The 27,402-nt window shown below is 35.3% G+C and overlaps 1 long non-coding RNA gene across 1 annotated transcript; it reads right to left on the reverse strand.

Moving 5' to 3' along the window:
- Window positions 1-2,751: 2,751 nt before the first annotated feature.
- On the reverse strand, window positions 2,752-27,032 carry LOC102723869 (uncharacterized). Its single transcript, XR_001756146.1, has 8 exons — window positions 26,777-27,032; window positions 14,867-14,895; window positions 14,700-14,772; window positions 11,000-11,030; window positions 8,154-8,220; window positions 5,824-5,890; window positions 3,229-3,288; window positions 2,752-2,810 (listed from the first exon to the last, which is right to left on the reverse strand). It is a non-coding gene; the product is annotated as an uncharacterized LOC102723869 (long non-coding RNA).
- Between the last annotated feature and the right edge of the window lie 370 nt (window positions 27,033-27,402).

The raw sequence follows: 27,402 nt of genomic DNA on the forward strand, positions 1-27,402 counted from the left end.
TGGTTAAAGGTAGAAAATACAAAATTTGGTGAGTCACTGGATTGGCAATGTGAGGGAAACCTGGAGTGCAGTTTTTTCTGCTTCAATGTTTCATTGCTACTTTCTTGGTGTTATTTACTAAAATTGGGAAGCCAGATGACAGAGTAGATTACAAAGAGTCAGGAAAGAATCTGGAAGGCAGTTTGAGACCTATTAAACTGGAGGCACAAAGGGGACTTAGAAGACTGATCTGGGTAAATACATTTGGAGTAGAAATAGATGACCTTACTCAAAAAAAAACCATACGTTGTTGAGAAGGTCAACATTTGTAACATATACTAAACTGGTAGGATTCAATAATTTAAACCTATGAAGAACACTGAAGTTTTGAAAATAAAAAGAAAACAAAACATGGGATTCAAAATTTCAATTATATATTTCTATACTGGATTAAAAGATATAAAATATATTTTCTTAATATATGCAGATATTTATTTCTGGAATATTATGGTCATCTGCATTTTTGAACTTAATGAAAACAGTTATCTAAACCAGTAATTCAAGGTATCCTAAGAAAGCTCATTTTTAAAAAATCATCTTAAAAGTTTAACTTGCACAAATGTTTATTCTATTATAGAATTATAAGGCATTTTAAGTGCTACTAAAATATAAGAGAGAAATGTAAAACCTATTTTAAAGTTCATATGGTTTTCTGATTCTCCTGTAAATTATATACTAATAGCTCTAATTGCCTACTTATGCCATAAAGATAATAGTTAAAAATCAGAGAAAGGATCAAGTAAAATAATCATATGACTATGCAAGCTGAAGATTTACATGTCTTCAAATACACTATGCCTGTCAATCAGGACCCAATACTGACATGAAGAGAGAAGAAATTTATTTTAAACATCAAGTCAAAAGGATTCCTGAGTTTTAGAGCTGAATCAATTTATATGCAAGGTATAACAACTATAAATACTAAAGTTAATAATGCTTCCAGAGAATAATACAAAATGTCCCAACTGTAGGAGATAGTTTTAAAAGTAAAAAGTAATATTCCAGAGATAATTCTGTGTACTCTGTTGGCAATATTTCTTTCCTTACAATTCTATCAAAATAGGTACTTTGTTTAGAAAACAATCATGAGTGTTGATTGCATTCATCACATGTATGTTCTTAAGTACAGACGTTATCAGCACAAGGTAAGTCAGACTAGCTCCAGAAATAAGTAATAATTTATTTCTTTAAGAGGGTTCCAGGTTAAAAATATATTTTTTCTCATTCAATGAATATAAATTAGAAACCTCATTTAAAATTAACCAGAAATGGCTAGGCGTGGTGGCTCACACCTGTAATCCCAGCACTTTGGGAGGCCGAGGCAGGCAGATCACAAGGTCAGGAGATCGAGACCATCCTGGCTAACACAGTGAAACCCCGTCTCTACTAAAAATATTTTAAAAAATTAGCCGGGCGTGATGGCGGGTGCCTATAGTCCCAGCTACTCGTGAGGCTGAGGCAGGAGAATGGCATGAACCCGGGAGGTGGACCTTGCAGTGAGCCGAGATCATCCACCGCCCTCCAGCCTGGGCGACAGAGTGAGACTCCCTCTCAAAAAAAAAAAAATTAACCAGAAATTTTAATTTTTATTAATTTATGTATTAATTAATTTTTATTATTTTTTATTATTTAATTACTTATTTATTTTCTCTCTTATTATCAAAAAAAGGCTAAAACAGCTGCCAAGATTATGTAAAAGTGAAATAAATTAGTTAAGCAACTTAGGAATATACCAAATATTACTTTAAAAAACTTTTAACAAGAGTCAAAAATTAATGATTCATTCAAAATCTGATATAGCCTAAAACACATTTTACTTTGCATTATCTATGAACACGGCATTCACTAGATAAAATATGAGACACCACTTTACTGAAATTTTAAAAAGTGAGGATTAAATTTTCTTTCCATTTAGAATTTTTAAATTAATAAATAGATGCATATATTTTCAGTGTACGTGTGATGATTTGATCCATCTATATAATCTAATGAGGGTAACAGAGAGACACATTACCTTAAATATGTATGTTTTATTTAAACTAGAAATATTCAAGTTATTCTCTCCTGGCCGTTTTTAAATGTAAAACAGAATGTTAAATATAGTCACCCATAAATTTTCTTCCAATCCTTTATTAAAATCACCCGTAAGTCACTCAGAAGAATCTGAGCATTTTTTTAATTACTTGGCTTTCTTTTCCTAATCTATATTTAAAATAATTCTATAATATGATATGGAGACATTCTACTGTCATTTAAATTCACCATTTTTGAGGTGTTTTATACTAATCTTTGTCATCTTGACACTCTTATTCAACTCTGTATTCTTACTTCTTTCCCCTCCTCACCTTTGTATTTGTGGAGCTGTTCTTTCAGGTTGCTTTCTACTTCTTTCCTTCCCTAATGGCAAACCTAACAATCATTTACTCCTACGACCTTTTAGGAATCCTAGTCCCATGCGTATATTTCCCTTGCTGTTACACTTCTTTTCTATTATTACCTGGAGAACTTCCATTCCTTTATAGGATCCTTGTCATCGTTATAAAGACAGGGAGATGGCAAGTGAATAAAGCATGGGAAAAATATTTTCCAAATAAAACAATTTACCATTGTAAAACTAGAGATCATTAACAGATAAGAGTGAGTTGGTGAACAGGACTGGACTCTGATTATTCTATGTTGGCTTTTAACCATATCTTCATTTACCTTATCAACATTTTGGTCTTCAAACAAGGTTTCATTTTCTGTTTTTTCAATGCCACATGCAGCATCTACTACAGTAAAAACAAAGTCAAGAGTAGATGAAATGCGTGTAATTAAGAATCAATAAATAAGAACCGGGTGTGGGGGCTCACAACTTTTAATCCCAGCACTTTGGGGGGCCGACGCAGGCAGATCATACGAGGTCAGGTGTTCAAGACCAGCCTGGCCAACATGGTGAAATTCCATCTCTACCAAAAGTACAAAAATAGCCAGGTGTGGTGGTGCACACCTGTAATCCCAGCTACTCGGGAGGCTGAGGCAGGAGAATCACTTGAACCCAGGAGGTGGAAGTTGCAGTGAGCCAAGATCATGCCACTGCACTCCAGCCTGGGCAACAGTGAGTAACACTCTGTCTACAAAAAATAAGAAAGAAAAAGAAAAAAAAAAGAATCAGTAGATAATACAATAGTCAGGTTTCAAATAGCTTACACTTTTCTGCAGATTGTTGAGAAATAGTCCTCTGTTCTTAAAGTATGGTTCTGAAATGCTCTAGAAGAAAGTCAATAGGTTTAAGAATAACATGCAGCAAGTTAAAATAATGATAATTGCCACCATTACTACACGATCTAACACAAAAAGGATAGACTTTGAAGTCACTCATATGTAGATCCAAACCTCAAGTCTGCCATTTACTTATTTACATATTCACATGAGATGATGATTATGATTGGTGATACAGATATTCTCAAAATGTTACTCCTTTCAACCCCAGTTGATTATTATACAAATACTATGATATCTATCAGTTTCTTTTATTAACCACAACAAACTGGGACAAAAATTTACTCATATGTAATTTAGAGTAATATTGAACAAAACTAACAATAAAAAGTCAATTAATCACTTTAGTTTTCAAAATATTTATGCATGATATATATTTGTGTGAATTACTTTCTGTGGGAAAAAATGTGAGAATGTAGTTTTTAGTAGTACTATATTTAAATGGGCTATCATCGCAATCGGTATAAGTTGCTTCTATTCTGTGTGTCAAAAGCTAAAAGCAAATTATTGTATAACTTCAGCTCCTTCCAAAAAAGACAGAACAAAGCAACCATCCACCTTATGGAGCAATGATTCACGAATGAAGGCCACACATAGCTACTAAATAGAAAGCTGTAACTAAGTATCCTGACAACAGAAACAGAGGTGAAACAAAAGAATAGACACTAAAGACATGTGGTCTGCAAGGAAAAAGTTAGACTGAGGTAAATCATTCTTAAACAAAGGGGAAGGAGGGAGAAACAAACAAAAAAAGAGACATGACCAGTCAATCAAATATGAGCTTAAAAGAAAAGCTTGTGTTCATAATATATGCCTAATAATGCTGGTTAGCATTTACTCAACAATTTGTTTTGTGTAAATACTTATGTAATAAAAAGTTTAGTTTGTTTACTATAAAATAACACATCCCAAGAGTTAAACATGATCATTCACCTGAAAGCTGAAACATTCTTACTACAAAGAGAGAGAGAGAGAGAGAGAGAGACAGAGAGAGGAATAAAAAACACAATAGAATTCCAGCAACTTAACACCTGGAGAAAGAATTTTTATTCAGAATTCAAAAGAGTAATGTATGCCCTGAAAAATATGTATTTAATAGAACATGGTTGGGGCTTTGAAAATTTAATCTAAAATCCTAATCTAAGCTTCCAGTTGGAAGATATTAGAAGACACGCTGTATCCACCTTTCCTATTTCCTTTCCATCTTTTCCAATTTTCATTTTATTCTATGACATATTTTCTCAGCATAACTCACCTCAACTTATAGATTCTCAACATTAGAAGAAAAGATAAATTCAGAACATTCAAGACATTTAATAGATTTAATTATTAGATATCTTATGCATATTATGTTACCTGTAACATTCCATTAAAAAAAAGCCCATTTCCCTGTTTGTTGATTCACATTAAAAACTATTAAAATGTTTCTTACATGCAAGACCTTATTCTGGGTACTCAAGATACATACAAATAGGTTTTCTAGCTTCAAGTGGCTCGTAGTAATGCAGGAGCTTTACAATTATTTTTTCAATAACTAAGCACAAAAGCCTCTGAAATTTGAAATTTAGAATGAGATACAAAGACCCTGAGTGGATTTTTTTTAATTACAATGCAAAAACCTTGTGAAATTAAAGTCTGACCACAGAAATATGAAGAGTCTCTGCTTATCAAACAGGTTGTTATTTTAAACAAAATGCATATTCTTAGATTAGATAAAGATTTTACAGTATACTCTTAATAAAAAAGACTTGGAAAACACAGTGTAAACCCTCTCTAATACAGGTGTGAGAACAGAATTTAAATTTCTAATATTCCACAACTTTTTTAAATTAGAGATAAGCTCTTGCTATATTGCCAAGCTTGGTCTTAAACTCCTGGGATCAAGAAATTCTCCTGGCTTGATCTCTTGAATAGGTGGGACTACAGGCACATGGTACCATGTCTAGTTAAATTTCCACAATTTCTAATATTATTTTAGTCTAATTATATAGAACCAAGAATAAAAATAAAGAAATAGCTCTCTGCAAAAATACTGTATGATGTTAAAATAGGTGTACAAGAAATAAAAAGAACCTATATGCTATGTGTAACAGGGTGATTCCATGATTCCCATAATAAGTCATCTGATGTAACAAACATTCATTTAAACAGAGGTATTATTAGTCATACTCATATGATATACAACTCAAAGTAAAAACACTTACTCAGATAAGCCTAGACCAAAATTTGTATCTCCTCTATTGTGGGAAAGCGTTCCCAAACAACATTTTTCTGTCACTATGTATTTTCCAACAATTTTTTTTTCAGATCACACCTCTCAAAGTATTTATCAACTATTTCTTATTTACAAAGTAAAAAAATTAAAATTAACCCCTCCTATTTCTTTAAAATAGTTATCTCTAATAAAAGTTTTAATACTAACATAAAACAATGATAGGTAGACAATTGCTAAGTTTTAGAAGAAAATAATACAAAAAATGAGATTCAGAGTGAGAAAATTAATTTCACAAGAGAGTACTCTACCTCAGATTCCAAAGCAAACTTATCCTTTGTCACAGGCTGTGCAACATTATCCAGTAGGTAGCGACACCTACAGAGCAAAAAGATATGACAAAAATGAGCACGCTCATTTTTTAAAACAAAAACCATCAGTCTATACATGCATGTCCCCTCCAAAAAAAAATGGTAAAACAAAGTCTGAGGAAGGTCAGTTATCCTTATATTAAATAATATTTCTTGGTATAATTAAGATATGGCTTCTGTATTAGAAAACATTTCAGTTACCTATTTCTGCCTCCACCTCTCCCAACCTATGAAATATCCAGTGCAGACTCACCCTTAAACCCGTAACAAATAGTGACAGGCATTATAACAGCATGGCCAGACAATAATTTGTCTTTATAAATTATCTACCCTAAAGACTAAACTGAAAATCCAATTGATATCTGACACAACTTTTGTTACTGAACTGCAGTAAACCTGATAACCTAAAACAAGGTAGAAAAGGCACTGTCTCTTCTGCGTTATCTATTTCTGATTCAAAGACTAATCTGTGTCACGGGAAAAGGGGAGTCTTGGATCTTCAGCATGTAAGCTACTTAGATTGCCCATCGATTCTCTTTACTCTAGAACTCTACAGGGAGCCCCCTGAAACACTGCAAATGTTTGAAAGCTGAGTGTAAAAAAAGTCAAAGTACAAATGTACTTTTGGAATATTCTTCACAGAAGATTAAAACATTAAAAATTATAAAATCCAATTAATGTCATTATATAGATCCTGCCTTATTCAGGTCCACAAAAACCAGCAAGCTTAAGAACCTTCATAGACACTCAGATACTCAAGAGACAGACTGCTGGAAAAGTCTCCCTCCTGAGTACTTACAGCTTAATTTCATTCATCACTATCTAAATATCTTCCTTCCTATGGGCTCCCCCTTCTGGATCCCTCTTCTGCAGGGATCCATGGCAATCTCCAATCTACATCTTCAAATTTGTCTGTCCCCTGCAAATTCCATTCTTATCCACTTTCATTGGGTTCAACAGCTCATTATTCCATTCTCATCCTTTTCCACTGTGTTCACTAGAGCCACTCCCTCTTTCTAAAACTAAAATCACTCAATGACAGAATGATGTAAAAGAAGACTGGGTTTTGAACTAGAATTATTAGATATGTCATGCATATTATGTTACCTGTAACATTCCATTATAAAAAAAACCCATTTCCTTGTTTGTTGATTTACATGAAAAACTACTAAAATGCTTCTTACATGCAAGACCTTATTCTGTGTATTCCAGGATACATACAAATAGGTTTTCTAGTTTCAAGTGGCTCGTAGTAATGCAGGAGCTTTACAATTATTTTTTCAATAACTAAGCACAAAAGCCTCTGAAATTTGAAATTTAGAATGAGATACAAAGACCCTGAGTGGATTCCTTTTAATTACAATGCAAAAACCTTGTGAAATTAAAGTCTGACCATAGGAATATGAAGAGTATCTGTTTATCAAACAGGTTATTTTAAACAAAATGCATATTTTTCAATTAAATAAAGAGTTTAAAGTATACTCTAAATAAAAAAGGCTTGGAAAACACTGTGTAAACCTTCTCTAATACAGATTTGAGAACAGAATTTAAATTTCTAAACTTCCACGACTTTTTGAAATTAGAGATAAGCTCTTGTTATATTGCCAAGCTTGGTCTTAAACTCCTGGGCTCAAGAAATTCTCCTGGCTTCATCTCTTGAATAGGTGGGACTACATGGACATGATACCATGTCTAGTTAAATTTCCACAATTTCTAATATTATTTTAGTCTAATTATAGAGCCATGAATAAAAATAAGGAAATAGCTCTCTGCAAAAATAGTGTATGATATCAAAATATGTGTACAAGAAATAAAAAGAAACCACATGCTATGTGTAACAGAGTGATTCCATGATTTCTATGATAAGTCATCTGATGTATTAAAGATTCATTTAAACAGAGGTATTATTAGTCACACTCATATGATATACAACTCAAAGTAAAAACACTCAAATAAGCCTAGACCAAAATTTGTATCTCCTCTATTGTGGGAAAGCGTTCCCGAACACCATTTTTCTGTCACTGTGTATTTTCCAGCAAATTTTTTTTCAGATCACACCTCTCAAAGAATTTATCAACTATTTATTATTTGCCAAAGTAAAAAAAAATTAAAATTAACCCCTCCCATTTCTTTAAAATGGTTATCTCTAATAAAAGTTTTAATACTAACATAAAACAATGATAGGTAGACAACTGCTAAGTTTTAGAAGAAAATAATACAAAAAATGAGATTCAGAGTGAGAAAATTAATTTCACAAGAGAGTACTCTACCTCAGATTCCAAAGCAAACTCATCCTCTGTCACAGGCTGTGCAACAGCATCCGGTCTGTAGAGACTCCTACAGAGCAAAAAGATACAACAAAAATGAGCACGTTCATTTCTTAAAAGAAAACAAAAACCATCAGTTTATACATGCATGTCCCCTCCAAAATAAATGGTAAAACAAAGTCTGAGGAAACTCAGTTATCTGCATATTAAATAATATTTCTTGGTATAATTAAGATATGGCTTCCATTTTAGAAAACATTTCAGTTACCTATTTCTGCCTCCACCTCTCCCAACCTATGAAATATCCAATGCAGACTCACCCTTAAACCCGTAACAAATAGTGACAGGCATTATAACGGCACGGCCAGACAATAATTTGTCCTTATAAATTATCTACCCTAAAGGCTAAACTGAAAATCCAGTTGATATCTGACACAACTTTTGTTACTGAACTGGAGTAAACCTGATAACCTAAAACAAGGTAGAAAAGGCACTGTCTCTTCTGCATTATCTATTTCTGATTCAAAGACTAATCTGTGTCACGGGAAAATGGGAGTCTTGGATCTTCAGCATGTAAGCTACTTAAAGAGGGCCCATTGATTCTCTTCACCCTAGAACACTACAGGGAGCCCCCTGAAACACCGCAAATGTTTGAAAGCTGAGTGTGCAAAAGTCAAAGTACAAATGTATAGGTTGTTAGGTTGTTATTGGGAATATTCTTCACAGAAGATTAAAACATTAAAAATTTTAAAATCCAATTATTGTCATTATATAGATCCTGCCTTATTCAAATCCACAAAAACCAGTAAGCTTAAGAACCTTCATAGACACTCAGATACCCAAGAGAGAGACTGCTGGAAAAGTCTCCCTCCTAAGTACTTGTAGTTTCATTTCATTCATCACTATCTAAATATCTTCCTTCCTATGGGCTCCCACTTCTGGATCCCTCTTCTGCAGGGATCTGTGGCAATCTCCAATCTACATCTTCAGCCTAGGAAAGCCCAGATTCCTCAAAAGATGGGCTAACATAATTGAGAGTAGGATCTCTCTATTCCTCTGCTTCTGGAAAGTAAGTTAGTCTCAGTCATCCACCCCAAGCATATGCATGTTACCAACTACCCAAATGAAGCTTCATTGCCGTTTTGCCGGCCAATCCTACATTTGCCCTACCCTACATGTACATGAGAGAATTGAGAAAAGAGTCAGAAAAAAAGAGACATCCACTCTGGGTCATAGATCTATGTACTTAAGCAATCTCCAGCTCCCTAGTCCTTGAGGGATTCTAAGTCCTCTGTAAGCTGGGATGGAAGAGGATGACACCACATTCCTATCTGCTCCAGAGACTCTTTCCAGTGGCTCAAATTCTTTTAACATTTTTCAATAAAACCTTGAAGTTTGTCAGTTCCTCCAGTTAAACAAACAAAAAGGCAGCAACCTCTTCAGAACTCCTTGAATGCCGTATTCTAATATGCCTTTCTTGATAGCTCCCAACATCCTGTGTTTTCAATTCCCTTATCTTTATCAAACTTGCATTAAACCAAATATTCAGATTTTTTCCTAAAACCTTCATTTCTATCCAACTAAGAGTTTGTTTCTCTTCAAATTTGGCTGTCCCCTGCAAATTCCATTCTTATCCACTTTCATTGGGTTCAACAGCTCATTCCATTCTCATCCTCTTCCACTGTGTTCACTAGAGCCACTCCCTCTTCCTAAAACTAAAATCTCTCAATGACAGAATGATGTAAAAGAAGACTGGGTTTTGAACTAAGAAATCTGAGTGCAATTCTCATTTCTCTGATTTACTGTATCCAAATAATTTTCTCTCTTTAAGTTTCAGGTTCTCCACCTGAACAACCACTTCATCAGGATGTTAAGCAAGGATTCAAGTACTAGAGGATATTTTGTTTAGTCTCTAGGATTTCTTAACATTCTGAAATTCTATGCACCTCTGATTGTGTCTGTAAGAAAATGGGGAATATTTAGCTGCCATACATGAAAACTATAAAAGAAGTTCTTAAACCCTAAGAAAAGCAGTAGAGAAAGTGAAAAGAAATCAAGAAAATACTAAAATGTCATAGAAGGAAAAAAGAAGAATCCAGAAAATAAGAAAAAGCTACAGCGAACTAGGCAGGGTACTCACTTAAAGAGAAAACCTAACTGGGCAGGCAGTAAGTAGAGAAATGAATTAGAAATATCCTTTTAATATGTGCTAAATATAGTTAACATAACATGGTCTATATTTAGATAATCTCCATGCACAGTAAGGTAATATTTTTCAAGGACTGGACTGGTCTTGCTTATGAAAAACTTAGGGTCCTGTGGACACAGGTAACTGATATCTGCCTTTAAAATTTTGATGGTTAAAAAAAATGTAATATGGTTACCACTGCCATTTCCAAAATACTTGGACAAACTTTTGGAGTATCCATGCTTCTAAGGAACACTCTAAAGAGAGTTAATATATAACAAAATGTGACTTTCTGAATTGATCTGAGTTAAACCAGTACCGTGATCACATTGCTGCATAGGTCTGTATCCATCTATGCTTAGGGGCAAATGAAGTGATTTGAGAGCCAGGCAGGATGATGGCCAAATCATGGGTTGGCTACCTGTTAACTGTGGAATCATGAGCCAATATTTCAACCTCTTTAAAGCAGAGTTCCCTAATTAGTAAAAAAGCAATAATAGCACAAATAGTTTGTAAAGCTGTGTGGAGATGACATGACATGATAAATATTAAGCATGTAATATGGTGTCTAGCACAGAGTAGAACACTAAATGGATACTAGTTTCTATTCTCTCTATTCACTAAGTTAACATATCACTTTAAAAAATCTATGAAATCATACCTGTTTAAACACTGTTCAACAGCAGGAAGCACTATTAAACAACAAGTAAAATGCATTTTAAATCAATAGGAACCTATAAAATATTAAAAACATAAAAGAGCACAGTGACTTTTTCCTATAATCTCAGCTACTCAAAAGGTTCAGGCAGAAGTATCACTTGAGAAGCCCAGGTGTTTCAGACCAGCTTGGGCAACACAGAAACACTCTATCTTTATTTTTAAAAAGTTAAAAAAATTTTAAAAAAAAATCATGTAGGCAGGGCTCGGTGGGTCATGCCTGTAATCCCAGCACTTTGTGAGGCCGAGGTGGGTGGATCACTTGAGGTCAGGAGTTTGAGACCAACCTGGCCAACATGGTGAAAGCCGGTCTCTAGTAAAAATACAAAAATTACCAGGTTGGTGGTGCACACCTGTTAACTCAGCTACTCAGGAGACTCAGACAGGAGAATCACTTGAACCCAGAAGGTGAAAGTTGAAGTGAGCCAGGATCACGCATGTCTTTCATACAAGACATCAGAAGGATTTAAACCATTATACTACAAATATTCATCATGCTCTTTGACTTGCCTGAAAATTGAGCAGGTACACAATGACAATTATTACACTTTAGATGAATGCACACTTCAAAGCTCCTCAGTGGAAGTGTCCTGAATTGGTCAGCTTGGATATATGTTTGGTGAATCCTATTATATGGTATTCATTATTTTTCATACCCATGTGGTATAATAATGAGCTTGCACTTTGGTATTTTCTGGTTTAACCTTCAGAAAGTTTTGTCAGTCACTCATGGGAACAAGGTATAATATACAAACCTAATCAAAATGTATAAAAAATTATCAAATTTGATATACTTACACACAATAAAGTTGCTACAAGCATTAGATATGAATAACGTTGTCCATTTGGAAATCACTCCAATATTCATTAAAAAAATATATTTTAGGAGTCAATTAAAGAATTTAACATTATTTTTGTTTCTAAAATAAGTCTGGTTTGAAAGATCATGTTATTCTCTAAAGTATTTTCATTAAATTGCTATTTTATCCAAAAGTTTGCTCTCTGAACAACAAAGCCAGTGTATGCATATTTACATTTATCTCATTTGACTAACTGATAACAACAAAACATATATCTCTGATGCCCAATAATGACAAAGAGGGGTAACAGGTGACTGTGGTTTATCACAATTCTAGCACTAGCACTCTATCCTGCTTCCAGTAGTTCCTGGAGCAGCCAAAATCAAATCTTCCTTCATGCAAACATTCTAAAAGCATCTGAAGTGAGTTCCCTCAGGTTTCCTCAGCAGAAACCCCAAAAATTATATAAATAACTTCTTTTTCCTTCTTCCTGCCTCACAATCCCTCTTCCCTGAGGAAAATAATTACTACATCAGCGGTCTCGTTACTTCTCGTTCTATAGTGTTTATGGATTATTATGATCACTTCCTCCCTCTGGTTTTAGCAGTGTGATCTGGCGCCTATAATTTCTAGTACTTCATCTTGTTCTCCTTCCCCTCTTGATGGAAACATGCTGTAGAATTAAAGGAAAATTATGCTGTCCTCTCAGCCTGTTATGTCTTGAACTGCTCTCCAATGGTTCTTCTTCCCAATTTCAATGTAGGGAAGTCTATAATCTTACTATTCAGATCATGGCCAAAAATCAGCAGAATCACCATCACTCCAGAACTTATTACAAATGCAGAATCTCAGGCCTGCTGAATCAGAATGAGCAGCTTCAATGAGCCCCCTGCTGATTTATTTGGGGAAGGGAAGTTCTCCTCTATCTTGAATGTACATGACATTAAATGTGTATTGCAAAATTATCTGTCCCAGATTTTTGTTCATCTTTTAGTTCTGTGGCTATGTTCGAAACAGAATCTTTCTTGTCACTTGTATCCTGAATGGGATTTCAAACAAAATAATCAATACATACAGTATATTTCATAGACTATACAGTTAATAATTCAAAATATGAATGAAGAGTGTAATACCTTCAAGGCCGGTTGTTTCTGAGAAGACACTGAAAACCAAAAGGGATACATAATCACTCGTATGTAAATATGATAAAGTTATTCATACTTTCATGCAGTGTTAGCATCAAGCTGTATCCTCCTGCCTGAATTAGCGTAGGCTTTGATGTTTTCTACTTTGTGTATTGGGACAGGAACATGACAGAATTACACTGTAGAAAACAGAAGTATAGTCTTCACAAAACAAACACTTCCAATTTCATAGGTGATATTATTCTTCATATGTCTGTTACTACAATAAAACAGTGTCTATATCAATGTGGATATGCCGAGTGATGAGGAAAAATGTGATCTAAAATCAGAGCAGCAACTCATACACTTGGGAATCAATGTCAAAGCAGGTGACTAATGCTCCTGCATGTTTTTCATGTAAGACATCAGAGGGATTTATACCGTTATACTACAAATATTTATCATGCTCTTAAACTTGCCTGACAATTGAGCAGGTACACAATGATAATGGCACTTTAGTTGAATGTACACTTCTCAAGTGCTCTGTGGAAGTGTCCCTAATTGATCAGCTTAAATATATGTTTGGTGAATCCTAGCATATAATATTCTTTATTTCTCACACCCCTGTGGTGTCATAATGTGCCTACATTTCTCGTATCCTCTAGTTTAGCCTTCAGAAAGTTTCTTCATCCACTCATGGCAAGAAGGTATAATACATAAACCTCATCAAAAAGTATAAACCATCAAATTTGGCATACTTATACAAAATAATGTTACTAAAAGCATTAGATATGAATAAGCGTTTCCATTTGGAAATTGCTCTGATATTCATTGAAAATAACCACTTTAGGAGTCAATTAATGAATTCAACATTATTTTTGTTTCTAAAATATCTGGTTTGAAGGATCATGTTATTCTCTAAAGTATTTTCATTAAATTGCTATTTTATCCAAAAGTTAGTTCCTTGAAAAACAAAGCCAATGTATGCATATTCATGATTATCCTATTCGAATAGCTAATACCAAGAAAACATATATCTCTGATGCCCAACAGTAACAAAGAGGGGTAATGAGTCACTGTGTGTCATCACAATTCTAGCACTCTATCCTGCTTCCAGTAGTTCCTGGAGCAGCCAAAATCTAATCTTCTTTTATGCAAATATTCCAAATGCATCTGAAGTTGAGTCCCATCAGGTTTCTGCAGCAGAAACCCCAAAATTACATAAATAACATCTCCTTTTCCCTCCTTCTTGCCTCTCAATCCCTCTTCCTTGAGTAAAATAATTACCACATCAGACGTCTCCTTAGTTCTCTTTCTACATTGTTTATGGGTTATTCCAATCACTTCTTCCATGTGGTTTTAACAATATGATCTGATGCCTATAATTTTTATTACTTAATCTCTTTCTCCTTCCCTTTACAATGGAAACAGGCTGTAGAATTAAAGCAAGAATATGCTGTCCCTTAGCCTATTATATCTTGCACTGCTCTCCAATCATTCTTGCCAATTTCACTGTGGGGAAGAATATAATCTTACTACTCAGATCATGGCCAAGGAACAGTAACATCAGTGTCACCTGAGAACTTATTACAAAAGCAGAATCTCAGGCCTGCTGAATCAGAATGTGCAGATTCAATGAGCCCCCTGCGATTTATTCAGGGAAGAGAAGTTCTCTTCTATCCTGAGTGAACATGACATTAAATGTGTATTGCAAAATTACCTGTCCCAGATTTTTGTCCATCATTTATTTCTGTGGCTATATTCGAAACAGAATCTTTCTTGTCACTTGTAGCCTGAATGGAATTTGAGACAAAATAATCAATACATAAAGTGTATTTCACAGACTATATAGTTAATAGTTCAAAACAGAAATGAATGTGTAATTACCTTCAAGGCTGGTTGTTTCTGAGAACACACTGAAAAGCAAAAGGGATACATAATCAGTCATATGTAAATATGATAAAATTATCCATACATTCATGCACTGTTACCATCAAGCTGTATCCTCCTGCCCCTATTAGTTTAGGTTTTTAAGTTTTATACTTTATGTCTTGGGACTGGAACATGACAGAAATACACTGAAGAAAACACCAATACAGGCTTCATGAAATATACACTTACAATTTCAAACATGATATGATTTGTCACATGTCTAAAACTAAAATGAAACAGTGTTAGTATCAATGTGGATATGCGGAGGGATAAAAACAAATGTGGTCTAAAAACAGAGGAGCAACTCATGCACCTGGGAATCAATGTCAAAGCAGGTGGTACGTGCTCTCACATGTCTTTAGTGCAAGAGATGAGAAGGAAATACACCATTATACTACAATCATTCATCATGCTCTTTAACTGGCCCAATAACTGAGAAGGCACACAATTATGATGACACTTCAGCTGAATGTACACTTCACATCTCCTCAGTGGAAGCGTCCTAAATTGATCAGCTTGGATGTATGTTTGGTGAATCCTAGTAGACAGTATTCATTATTTCTCAGACCCATGTGGTGTAATTATTGCCCAAGTTTCTTGTGTTCTGTAGTTCAGCCTTCTGAAAGTTTTTTCATCTACTCACGGCAATAAGGTATAATATGTAAACCTCAATAAAAAGTATCATCATTTATCAATATTGACATACTTCTACAAAATAAAACTGCTACAAGCATTAGATATTAATAAGCTTTCACATTTGGAAATGACTCCAATATTCATTGAAAATAACCATTTTATGAATCAATTAATGAATTCAACATTATTCTTGTTTCTAAAATAGTCTGGTTTGAAGTATCATGTTATTCTCTAAGGAATTTTTATTAAATTGCTATTGTATCCAAAAGTTAGCTCCTTGAAAAACAAAGCCAATGTATGCACATTCATGTTTATTTCATTTGAATAACTAATATCAACAAAATCTATGTCTCTGATTCCCAATAGTAACAAAGAGAAGTAACGAGTCACTGTGGTTTATCTGAATTCTAGTACTCTTTCCTTCTTCCAGTAGTTTCTGGAGCAGCCAAAATCAAATCATCTTTTATGCAAATATTCTAAATGCATCTGAAGTGAGTTCAGTTATACTTAGAGTCATAATTTAAAAAATCATTTTCTTTGTACTCATGAAGGCTCCTAAGATTCCTACATTTCCCAGATTCAGCAGTTCAGCTCTTTTGCCATCTCTTTTTCCACTTTTGCAAAAACATACATGTCAAAGAAATCATGCATAATCAGATTCCCATGTAAATAAGGTAAACAAAATCTCTAAATTACAAGAGACTTCTTTTCTTATTAGTAACCAACAAAATATATACATACGTACATATATGTGTGTGTGTGTGTGTGTGTGTGTGTGTCATGATTGCCAAGAATATTGGTAGTTTTTTTAGTACTCAAGATATACATTCTTTTATTACTTTGTTTCTAAAGCTAGTTTGAAATAATATACCATAGGGGTCTCTCAGGTCCTTTTATGAAATAACTACCTCAGCAAACACACCTTTCCTAAAGAAAAAAAAAACACTTTTTCTAGATTAAGCTGCATCCCAATATGCTAACTGATGTGAACGAAGCACATATCATTGATGTGTAAAACTTCTAGGGAGGAGAAATGAAACCCTGGGGGTCACCCTCATCCTTCTAACTTCCGCTTTCCATTAAGTGACTCCCCACAAGTCTCCTCATCAGAAACCCCCAAATTACCTAGCTAGCCACTTTCTTTGTTCTGCCCAATTTGACATACACTCCTTTTCATTCATAAATCTAATATCCATATTGGTGGACTTCATTCTTTGCCCTCCACATTCATTTCTTCATTATTCTCACCACTACTGTATTGTGACATCTGTACAATCCCATTCTGACACATGTGAAGATAAGGTTTTGCTTTATTAAAATGTTAAATGTATCAGACACTTGACTAACGTGTACAAATTCCTTCTTCACAAAAGCAGCCCCATGGCCTTCTCTCTCCCATAGACACTCTTTCACAGCTGTTCTTCACTCACATCGGTTTGAGTATCTATCATCTCTCATTTTGTCTCTATGCTTTCACCTCATATCATGAGTTATTATCATAGGCTTAGCAGCCTTTCTTACCTATTTTCCTCTCCAGGAGACAGTACTGAGTAGTAAATTAGAATCTTCCAGGATATGAACACTTTCACGTACACAAGACTTTGTGGAGCTATTTTATGTTTAACTACACATAAAACCACTATGTCTATGCATTCCAGAGAAACGGGCTCTGAAATGTTATTGAACATAACCTATTTAAAAACTTCTTTAACTACAATGACACTGCCTCTCCTCAATGCACCAACATCTTCAGAAATAACTTGTGAAGACTTGAAAACATGTCAGTAATTGACATGAAAAATGAAGAATGATGTAATTTTTTGCAGGTATAAATAAGACATGCTGAGATCCTTACTAGATCCAAGAAGAGAAGAGTGCCATGAGACAGGAAATAAATATGGAACAGAAATATTTTCATTTGTAATGAAAATTATTCTATTTACAGTTTTCAGAAGAGAAAAAAATACACACACACACACACACACATTCACACACAAAAACCAGAGCAATACGGCTTTACAGGGTGTTTTTTCTTCAAAAGCCTATTTGTCATTTGACATCCGGGAACACTCTATAGGGATCAACAAAGGGGTTCTAAATTGTGACCTGAGTAGTTTAGAGTTTAAAATTCATGAGGGGGAGTCAAGAGGACAAGTAACACTTTGACCATTGGCCATTTCCTCTCCTTACTGTCATTCTCTGAAAAGCACACACTGGATTTTCTCAGGATCATGACATGTCAAAAAGACATGCTTTAAGGGGGAAACAGTTGCAATCAACACAGCCATGGGAGACATACAGCTATGCTTGCTAGGATTTCCAATACTTCTGTTTCATTTCTAATATAGTACAAGTCATTAAAAGCAACCACATAAGCATATCCATGCTGGTATCTCATCATATTTATGTCCATATGGTATCAGCATGAAGAGAGCATAATTAAATATGCTGCAGTCATCACATGGCATATCATTAGATCATACAATAAATCGAATACCTCACTGGGTCAACATGGATAGATCTGAAATATATATCACTGATTTTACAAAGACCAAGTTGCAGTCATTGTGTGCACTGTCTGAACTTTTCTACAAGGTTTTAATACACAAAATCACGTTCTACATGTTATCTATGAATGTGCACATATGTTATAACAGGTTTTTAATGTGTATTTGGGTGATTTCTTTTTCTTTTTTTAAAAAAAATTAAGTTCTTGGTTAGATGTCGTCAATAAGTTTTAGTAGTATAGAAAACCCTAAGACCATGACAGCTCAGAATGACTGTCTTAAAAGGCTATGTCTACCAAAGAGTCAGGAAAGCACGACTACTTACTTTCTTCATTTTTAAAACTCAGAGGTACCCCACGCACACTCCCAAATAAAGCTGCACACAAGTTCTTTAGTTTAATTAGATCCCATTTTTCAATTTGGGCTTTTGTTGCCATTGCTTTTAGTGTTTTAGTCATGAAGTATTTGCCCATGCCTATGTCCTGAATGGTACTGCCTAGGTTTTCATCCAGGGTTTTTACACATTTAGAACTTACTTTTAAGTCTTTAATGCATCTTGAGTTAATTTTTGTATAAAGTGTAAGGAAGGGGTCCAGTTTCAGTTTCCTGCATAAGGCTAGCCAGTTTTCCCAACACCATTTATTAAATACGGAATCCTTTCCCCATTGCTTTTGTCAGGTTTGTCAAAGATCAGATGGTGTAGATGTATAGCATTATTTCTGAGGCCTCTGTTCTGTTCCATTGGTCTATATATCTCTTTTGGTACCACTACCATGCTGTTTTCATTACTGTAGCCTTGTAGTATAGTTTGAAGTCAGGTAGCATGATGCCTCTAGCTTTGTTCTTTTTGCTTAGGATTGTCTTGGCTATATGGGCTCTTTTTTTGGTTCCATATGAAATTTAAAGTAGTTTTTTCTAATTCTGTGAAGAAAGTCAATGGTAGCTTGATGGGTATAGCATTGAACTTGCAAATTACTTTGGGAAGTATGGCCATTTTCAAGATATTGATTCTTCCTATCCATGAGCATGGAATGTTTTTCCATTTGTTTGTGTCCTCTTATTTCCTTGAGTGGTGGTTTGTAGTTCTCCTTAAAGAGGTCCTTCAAATCCCTTGTGAGTTGTATTCCTTGCTATTTTATTCTCTTTGTAGCAATTGTGTATGGGAGTTCACTCATGATTTAGTGCTCTATTACTGGTGTATAGGAACGCTTGTGAATTTTGCACATTGACTTTGTATCCTGAGACTATGAGGAAGTTGCTTATCAGCTGAAGGAGATTTGGGGCTGAGACAATTTGGTTTTCTAAATATACAATCATGTCATCTGCAAACAGAGACAATTTGACTTCCTTTCTTCCTATTTGAATACCGTTTATTTCTTTCTCTTGCCTGATTACCCTGGCCAGAACTTCCAATACTATGATCAGAGTGAACAGGCAACCTACAGAATGGGAGGAAATGTTTGCAATCTGTCCATCTGACAAAGGCCTAATATCTAGAATCTACAAGGAACTTAAACAAATTTACAAGAAAAGAACAATCTCATCAAAAAGTGGGCAAAGGATATGAACAGACACTTCTCAAAAGAATACATTTACGCAGCCAACAAACATCTGAAAAAAAGCTCATCATCACTGATCATTAGAGAAATGCAAATCAAAACCACAATGAGATACCATCTCACGCCATTTAGAATGGCAATCGTTAAAAGGTCAGGAAACAACAGATGCTGGAGCAGATGTGGAGAAATAGGAATGCTTTTACACTGTTGGTGGGAGTGTCAATTAGTTCAACCATTGTGGAAGGCAGTGTGGTGATTCCTCAAGGATCTAGAACCGGAAATACCATTTGAGCCAGTAATCCCATTACTGGGCATATATTTGGTGCGTGTGTGTGTGTGTGTGTGTGTGTGTGTGTGTGTATGTACAGTGGCTTGTCCCTATAATCTCAGCTACTCAGAAGGCTGAGGCAGAAGTATCACTTGAGAAGCCCAGGAGTTTGAGAACAGCCTGGGCAACATAGCAAGACTCTTTACTAAAAAAAAAATCATGCAGGCTGGGCACAGTGGCTCATGCCTGTGATCTCAGCATTTTGGGAGGCCAAGGCGGGTGGATCACGTGAGGTCAAAAGTTTGAGACCAGCCTGGCCAAACATGGTGAAACCCCATCTCAACAAAAATACAAAAAAAAATTAGCCAAGTGTGGTGGCACATGTATGTAATCCCAGCTACTCGGGAGGCTGAGACAGGAGAATCGCTTGAACCCAGGAGGCAGAGGTTGCAGTGAGCCGAGATTGTGCCATTCCACTCCAGCCTGGGTGACAGAGTGAGACTTCATCTCAAAAGAAAAAACAAATCATGAACTTTTGTACATGCCTTAGACCTTGTAGGAAAAATATTATAAGACTTTGATGCTTTATTACAGAGACTCTCATGATTTGTTACAAAGCAGTGCTTTAGAAACATACTTGGAGGCTATACTAAAATTATTATTTATACTATTTGTAGGCAACTAATGAGTTAAGAACTCTTATTTCCTTTCTTACATGCTTAGCATATACTTATCAAATGCAAAGAAGAATATATTATCAAAATTTGTTACCTTACATGTGAATTGCGGTATAAAATAGTCATAATTCTAACAGAATTATATCAGACTGACAGAAAATGGCATCATTAGTAGAATCAATATAATGAGCAGGCATTGTCAAAGAACATGATTTCTGGACAAATGAACCAGGTGCAGCTAGAACAGCAGTCCCCCTTATCTGCTGTATGTGTAGAAAACACATATTCAACATGATGTTCCCCTTCTCTCACACCGCAACAACAATCATCAACACAGAAGATTTCTGTGACCAAATATGTATTTTTCCCCAGCAACAAGCAAACAATCAATTCCGATGGGTGCCCTCTAATTCTGACACTATCTACTTGGGGATTATCTACAGGTTGAGGGCTCAGTACCACAAGGCTATTCCCCCACAGCAGTTACAAGTCTGGGCCTCCAGAACTTCTAATCAACTTCCAGTTGGACTTCAAGTTGGGTTTCCCAGGACCCCCTCTTTGGTTTGATCAATTTACTAGAGTGGCTCAGAGAACTCATGGAAACACATTTACCAGTTTCTTATAAAGAATATTAAAGGATACAGATAAAGAGATGCATAGTGCAAGATATGGGGGGAAAGTAACACGCTTCCATGTCCTCCCAGGGCACTCACCCTCTGGGAACATCCATGTATTCTCCATATGCCTTCATGTATTGAATGAGAGCATCCAGGTAGCTGAATACAGCTACCTGGATGCTCTCCAAATCCAATCCTTTTGGGATTTTATGAAAGCTTCCTTACATAGGCATGACTGATTAATTGAACATTCAGCCCCTCTCACATCCCAGGTGGTGAGGGGTGGGGCTGGAAGCCCCAACCCTCTAATCACACCCTGATCACTCTGATGATGAGCCCCACCCTGAAGCCATCTGGAGGCTGCCTGCCATAAGTCAATCATTAGCATACAAATGATATCATGTGGGAAGTTCTGAGGATTTTAGGAGTTGTATGACAGAAAATGGGGTTGAAGACCAAATATATATTTCATAATATGACATTGGTGGTTTTATTGACTGCAGATTCAGTTACCCACGGTCAACCATGGTCCATAAATAAAATTCCAGATGTATATACATCATAAGGTTTAAATTGCATAAGATTCTGAGTAGTATGATAAAATTTGAGCCATTACATCCCAGTCTGCCCAAGATGTGAATCATCCCTTTGTCAAGTGCATGCACATTATATATGATATCTGCTCACTAGTCATTGACATAATCTGTACCTAACATCCAACCAACAACATCATCATGGCTCACGGATCCAAGATCACGTGAAGCAGATGTTCTTCTTTCTGACATATAGTCAAATAGAAGGTCAATAATAGCCCAAGACTACATGGCAATGCCTACTGCATTTGCCTCACTTATCACATAGCCATTTTATCATCTCACATCAGTGCAGAAAGTAGGGTGACTATAGTACATGATATTTTGTGAGCTCACATTCACTTAACTTTTATTACAGTATATTGTTACAATTGATCCACTTTACCATTAGATATTATTAATCTCTTATTGTGCCTAATTTATGCATTAAATTTTATTATAGATATATATGTATTTTTAAAAATTATTGTATGCATAGAGTTCAGCACTATCCATGTTTTCAGGCATTCACTAAGGGTCTTGAAATGTATCCCCCATGTATAAGAGGAAATTACTGTACTTATTTTGTTGAAACACAAGTTTCTCCACTTCTTCAGTTTAAACTATTCAGGATAAAGCACTCTAATACAAAAAATCTAGGTCTATGAAAACTGTACTCTATTCTATGGCAAAACACAGCATACAGACCAGGGTCAAGGATCCCTGCAAAGACTTTTCAGCTGCCAGTGCAGAAGAGCCTAAGAGAGATCAGTATCCTTACCTTCACTAATCCTCTCCTAGGGAAGATTCTGGTAAGTTTGCTTAGTTCTAGCTATTCATTCACCCTATGTAGGGCACAAACAATGCTTAAATTCAGCTTTCATTTTAGCTCCTTCAAAAAAACACACACAGAGGAAATAGCACTCCCTTAAAAGCTTATCCAATCTGAGTCTTGTCTCCTTTTCAGAGAGAAGCTTATGAAGAAACGCCAGGGAGGTATGGCAAGTTGCCAGGGAGGACTTTCTAATATATAAAATATATATAAAGGAACCATAAACTCACTGGAGCTACCAAGATGTGCCAACAGTTGTCCCACTACCTAGTGTGAAAAACAACAACAACAACAAATCTTTGTCACTTTAGGTAAACAAAAATAGTATGACTCTCTTGGCATTTTTCATGATGGAGAACCTAGTTATAAGTGAGTCATGTTATAATAATATAGACTGTTTTCAAACTGATCCCTCAAAGAAAGAAGGTCAATAAGAAACATATTTGTATGCCTATAGTATTCACTAGCTGGTCTTATTTCCAACTGCAAGGTAAATAGGAAAGACTTTCTGACTCCAGTTTTATAAAGTACAGCCTCTTGAGATTGTCCCTTTCCACTTCTAGTCTATCTGGACCCATCTCACAGAGAAGGATGATCCAGTTATTGCTGTGTAGTATACAGCATGAAGCCATTTTCCTCAACCCTCCTCATTATGTGGCAAATGTCTATATAAATTATGCTTTTTCAACATGTAAAGCATATGCCATTAAATCCTACATTAATAAACTAAAAGCAAAAAAGCACAATGGATAGCTTAATTGAATACATTCAATTATCTTGGAAATTTATGTTTTGTAATATTGAAAAAGATATCCACTATATTATCCTTAATATATGACTATGCTGGACATATCAAAACTATGGAGACAGCAAAAATATTAGTAGTTGACAGGGGTTAGTTGGGAGGGAGGAATAAAAAAAGAGAGACGAATTTCAGGGCAGCGAAAGTATTCTAGTGGCAGGTACATTTATTATACATTTGTCCAACTATATAGAAGGTACAATACCAAAAGGGAACTAAGATATAAACTATGGACTTTGGGTGATTATTATGATCCAGCAATGTAAGCTTCTCAGTTGTAACAAATGTACCACTCAGGTGGGAGATATTCATAATGGGGGGAGCTATGCATGTGAGGGGGGATGGCATATATGAAAAATCTCTTTAGGTTCTTTTCAATATTGCTGGGAATATAAAACTGCTCTTAAAATAAAGTTATTAATTTTTTTAAAAGATTTTCACTGCATCTTCTATTACTAATATATTGCTATAATATATTGCCATATATTATAGCAAGATGTACTCAATTTGAAACACAATATGAATATTCTCTCCAGAATTGTAGTATATAAAAGTACATAAAGCAAATAACTATATTAACAGGGAAGAAAATAATGGATAAATGATTGATTTTTTAAATTTCATAATTATAAACAGAAATTTAACAAAATATAAAACAAAACTGAAACCTATATAATTAAAATGAAACAAATTTTTTATTTTAATTTTAAACCAGAAATCATTATTTATTTTATCTATTTTACTGAAAGGTTAATTGAATAAGAACAGATTATAATTACCTAATATTACCATAGTAACTTCTGTATAGAAACCTGTTAAATATTCACCAAAATTTCAAAATCTAACAGCACAGAAACTTAGTATTTCATATTAAGTTGCAACTGACGCAAATGAAATAAGCACCATGCTATGTTATATCACCATGTTATTCACTATTAAATAGAATTTTTAAGACACTAAAATTAAGTTGGGGCTGTAACTGCTGTGAAGAAAATAATTCATATAACAGTCATAAGACTGTCATTCTTAGAAATGCCTACATGCAAAACTGGCCCTTCGCTGGTGTTTGGAAATTTGCATTTTAAAGGTTTGTCACCATTTCCTGAGAAAAGTAGCTCACTGTACCTAAACTGTTTGCATAAACAATGTGGTTGACTCTGAACAGCTGCTTTTCTTCTGGAAGTGTGGAATTTTTGTATATGTGTGAGAGAGAATGCTTATGTAACTAGCTTCCATAAAAACCTTGGATACTGTCTTGTCAGACTCATATTGGTAGACAATACTGCCCATGTGCTGTCAAAATTCAAAGCTACAGGAATTCAGCACATCCTGGTAACTTCACAGAAGAGGGCTCCTGGAAGCTTGTGCCTGGCTTCCCCAAGACTTGCCACATGCCCCTTTGCCCTGAGCCAATTTTACTTTGTATTCTTTCACAGTAACAAATCAAAGCCCAGAGTAGGACTGTTTGCTGAGTCCTTACAAGTGAATCACCAAACACAGAGGTGGTCTTGGGAAACTCTGACACAGTGGCATTACATGAAATTAGTTTTCTTTAAGGTGATGTGACCTGTGACTACAATCAGAAGGCTGTTTATAGAATACCTTTCCCTAATCTGTTTTCCTTAACAGTTGCCTTTGAGATTCCTGTATTTCCGCATGAATAAATCCATAAAGGAATAGAAATAATTATGCCAAAAAAATGAAAAACAAGCAGCAATCCTATTTTAACCAGAATAAAAAATTGAGAATATGGATGATTAAAAATATACCCCATAGTATGAAAGCTTCTAGAAGAGAAACAAAAAGATCACAGCCAATTGTCTTCAACTCTCCAAGGTTTCTTTTATAATAATTGGGGATCAGGCCAGGCACAATGACACACACCTGTAGTCCCAACTACTCCAACGGCTGAGGCAGGAAGATTGCTTGAGATCAAAAGTTCAAGGTTGCAGTGGAGATTGTGCCTGTGAATAACCATTGCACTCCAGCCTGGGAAACAGAGTGAGACCCTGTCTCTAAAATGTATTAGTAGGCTGGGGGCGGTGGCTCATGCCTGTAATCCAAACACTTTGGGAGGCTGGGGCGGGCGGATCACAAGGTCAGGAGATGGAGACCATCCTGGCTAACATGGTGAAACCCCATCTCTACTAAAAATATAAAAATTAGCTGGGCGTGGTGGTGCACGCCTGTAGTCCCAGCTACTAGGGAGGCTGAGGCAGGAGAAGCACTTCAACCCAGGAGGCAGAGGTTGCAGTGAGCCAAGATCACGCCACTGCACTCCAGCCTGGGCAACAGAGTGAGACACAGTCTCAAAATATATATATATATATATTAATAAAAACATATGTAAAAAATTTGCATCATTCAGGTCATTGTGATAATTATAGAAATATATGTAGCCATTGGTTATAATACTGTACTATCAATCATAGAGCTCATTTAATTTGTTTCTAATCTTTTTTCTTAAGTTCTTATAAAACTAAAAATATCTATTAAAACTAAAATCATCTGTTAAAGTAAGGGCCAATAGGACTTTAAACTCATTTTGGGGAATAAAGGAAGTTATGGACCAGCACGATGGCTCATGACTATAATTCCAGCACTTTGGGAGGCTGAGGCAGGAGGATCACTTGAAGCCAAAAGTTTGAGACTGGCCTGGGCAACAGAGAGAGACCCTTGTCTCTAAAAAATAAAAAATAAAAAAGTTAGCTTGGTGTGGTGGCATATGCTTGTAGCAGTCTCAGCGACTTAGGAGGCTGAAGTAAGAGGACCACTTGAACCCAGAAGTTTGAGGCTGCAGTGAGCTATGATCACACTATTGCACTCCAGCCTGGGAAACAGCAAAAGACTCAATCTCAAAAAAAAAAAAAAAATCAAGAAAGTTATATATAGATGGTTAAAGGTGTGGTAATCCAACCGACCAAATATTCCAGCTAAGTAACAGATTACCAATATTCGAAGAAATATAACACCAGAAAAGTGTTTTACATTAAAACTGTGTCAAGTTTGAAAATTTAAAAGACACCTTAAGTGTCTTAACTTAATTTGAAAATTTAAAAGACACTTAAAGTTTGAAAACTTAAAAGAAACTTAAAATCTTAAAGGACCAGCATCACTTACACTGTCACTGTGCTAAAGATATAAAGAAGTTTAGCATTAAAGATTAATAGAATACCAGACATACTTTAGAATAGGTAGCTAATTCTCTTAAAAGAAAATCATATATAGTTGTCAAAAATACCTATGTTAGAAATGTGTTCTAATAATATTTTCTTTAGGGATGAAATTCAAAAGAAAACAGTAAAAGTAGAGATATTAGAAGAGGTCATGAAAAGGGAATTGCACTAAAACAAAGTGTCCCAGAACACAGAGACTTGGTATACTTAGCATATCACCTTATATTTTTCTCCATAACATTATATAAAAGATGTCAGCTTCTCCAAACTGCTCGTCTGTAGACTACTTCCAATTGAAACTTGAAACTCTCGAAATGTGGCTGTGTTATGATTCCATGTTGGAGGGAGTTGGGATGTATGTGCTTTGGACAATCTGGTTCCAGTTACTGCTGCCAGACTTTTGTTTCAGAATGCATCCAGAAGAACTTATCAGGGATTTCAGTACAAACTAAGTATTTCCACAAGGAGCAGATAAGAAGACCGCAGTTTTTCTCACACATTACCCTTAGGTTTTGACAATTCTGTAAAAGAGTGGGCACATGTAATCAGAAGTCAAGACCATTTTCCCTGACCCTGTGCATGTAGCTTCTGCAGTTACAAAAGAGTTACGTAGGATCTTGGTAGATTTGTTCCTCCATATTTGGACACCAGATATACCAATCACATCAACAGCTCACATTACACCTCAAAAATGGTTCTTTTGAAAAGGGTACTGCCAAAGAGCTTTTAAAAGTTAAATCTAATTGGCTTTTTAGTAATCTTACTTGTTAGAATTGATACTCCCTCCTTAAAATTCTCACATTTTTATTTTTGCCACATCACTTCCTCTGACTCCTCTCCTACTT

Source organism: Homo sapiens (assembly GCF_000001405.40).
Source record: "Homo sapiens chromosome 16 unlocalized genomic scaffold, GRCh38.p14 Primary Assembly HSCHR16_RANDOM_CTG1".
Classification (NCBI taxonomy): Eukaryota; Metazoa; Chordata; class Mammalia; order Primates; family Hominidae; genus Homo; species Homo sapiens.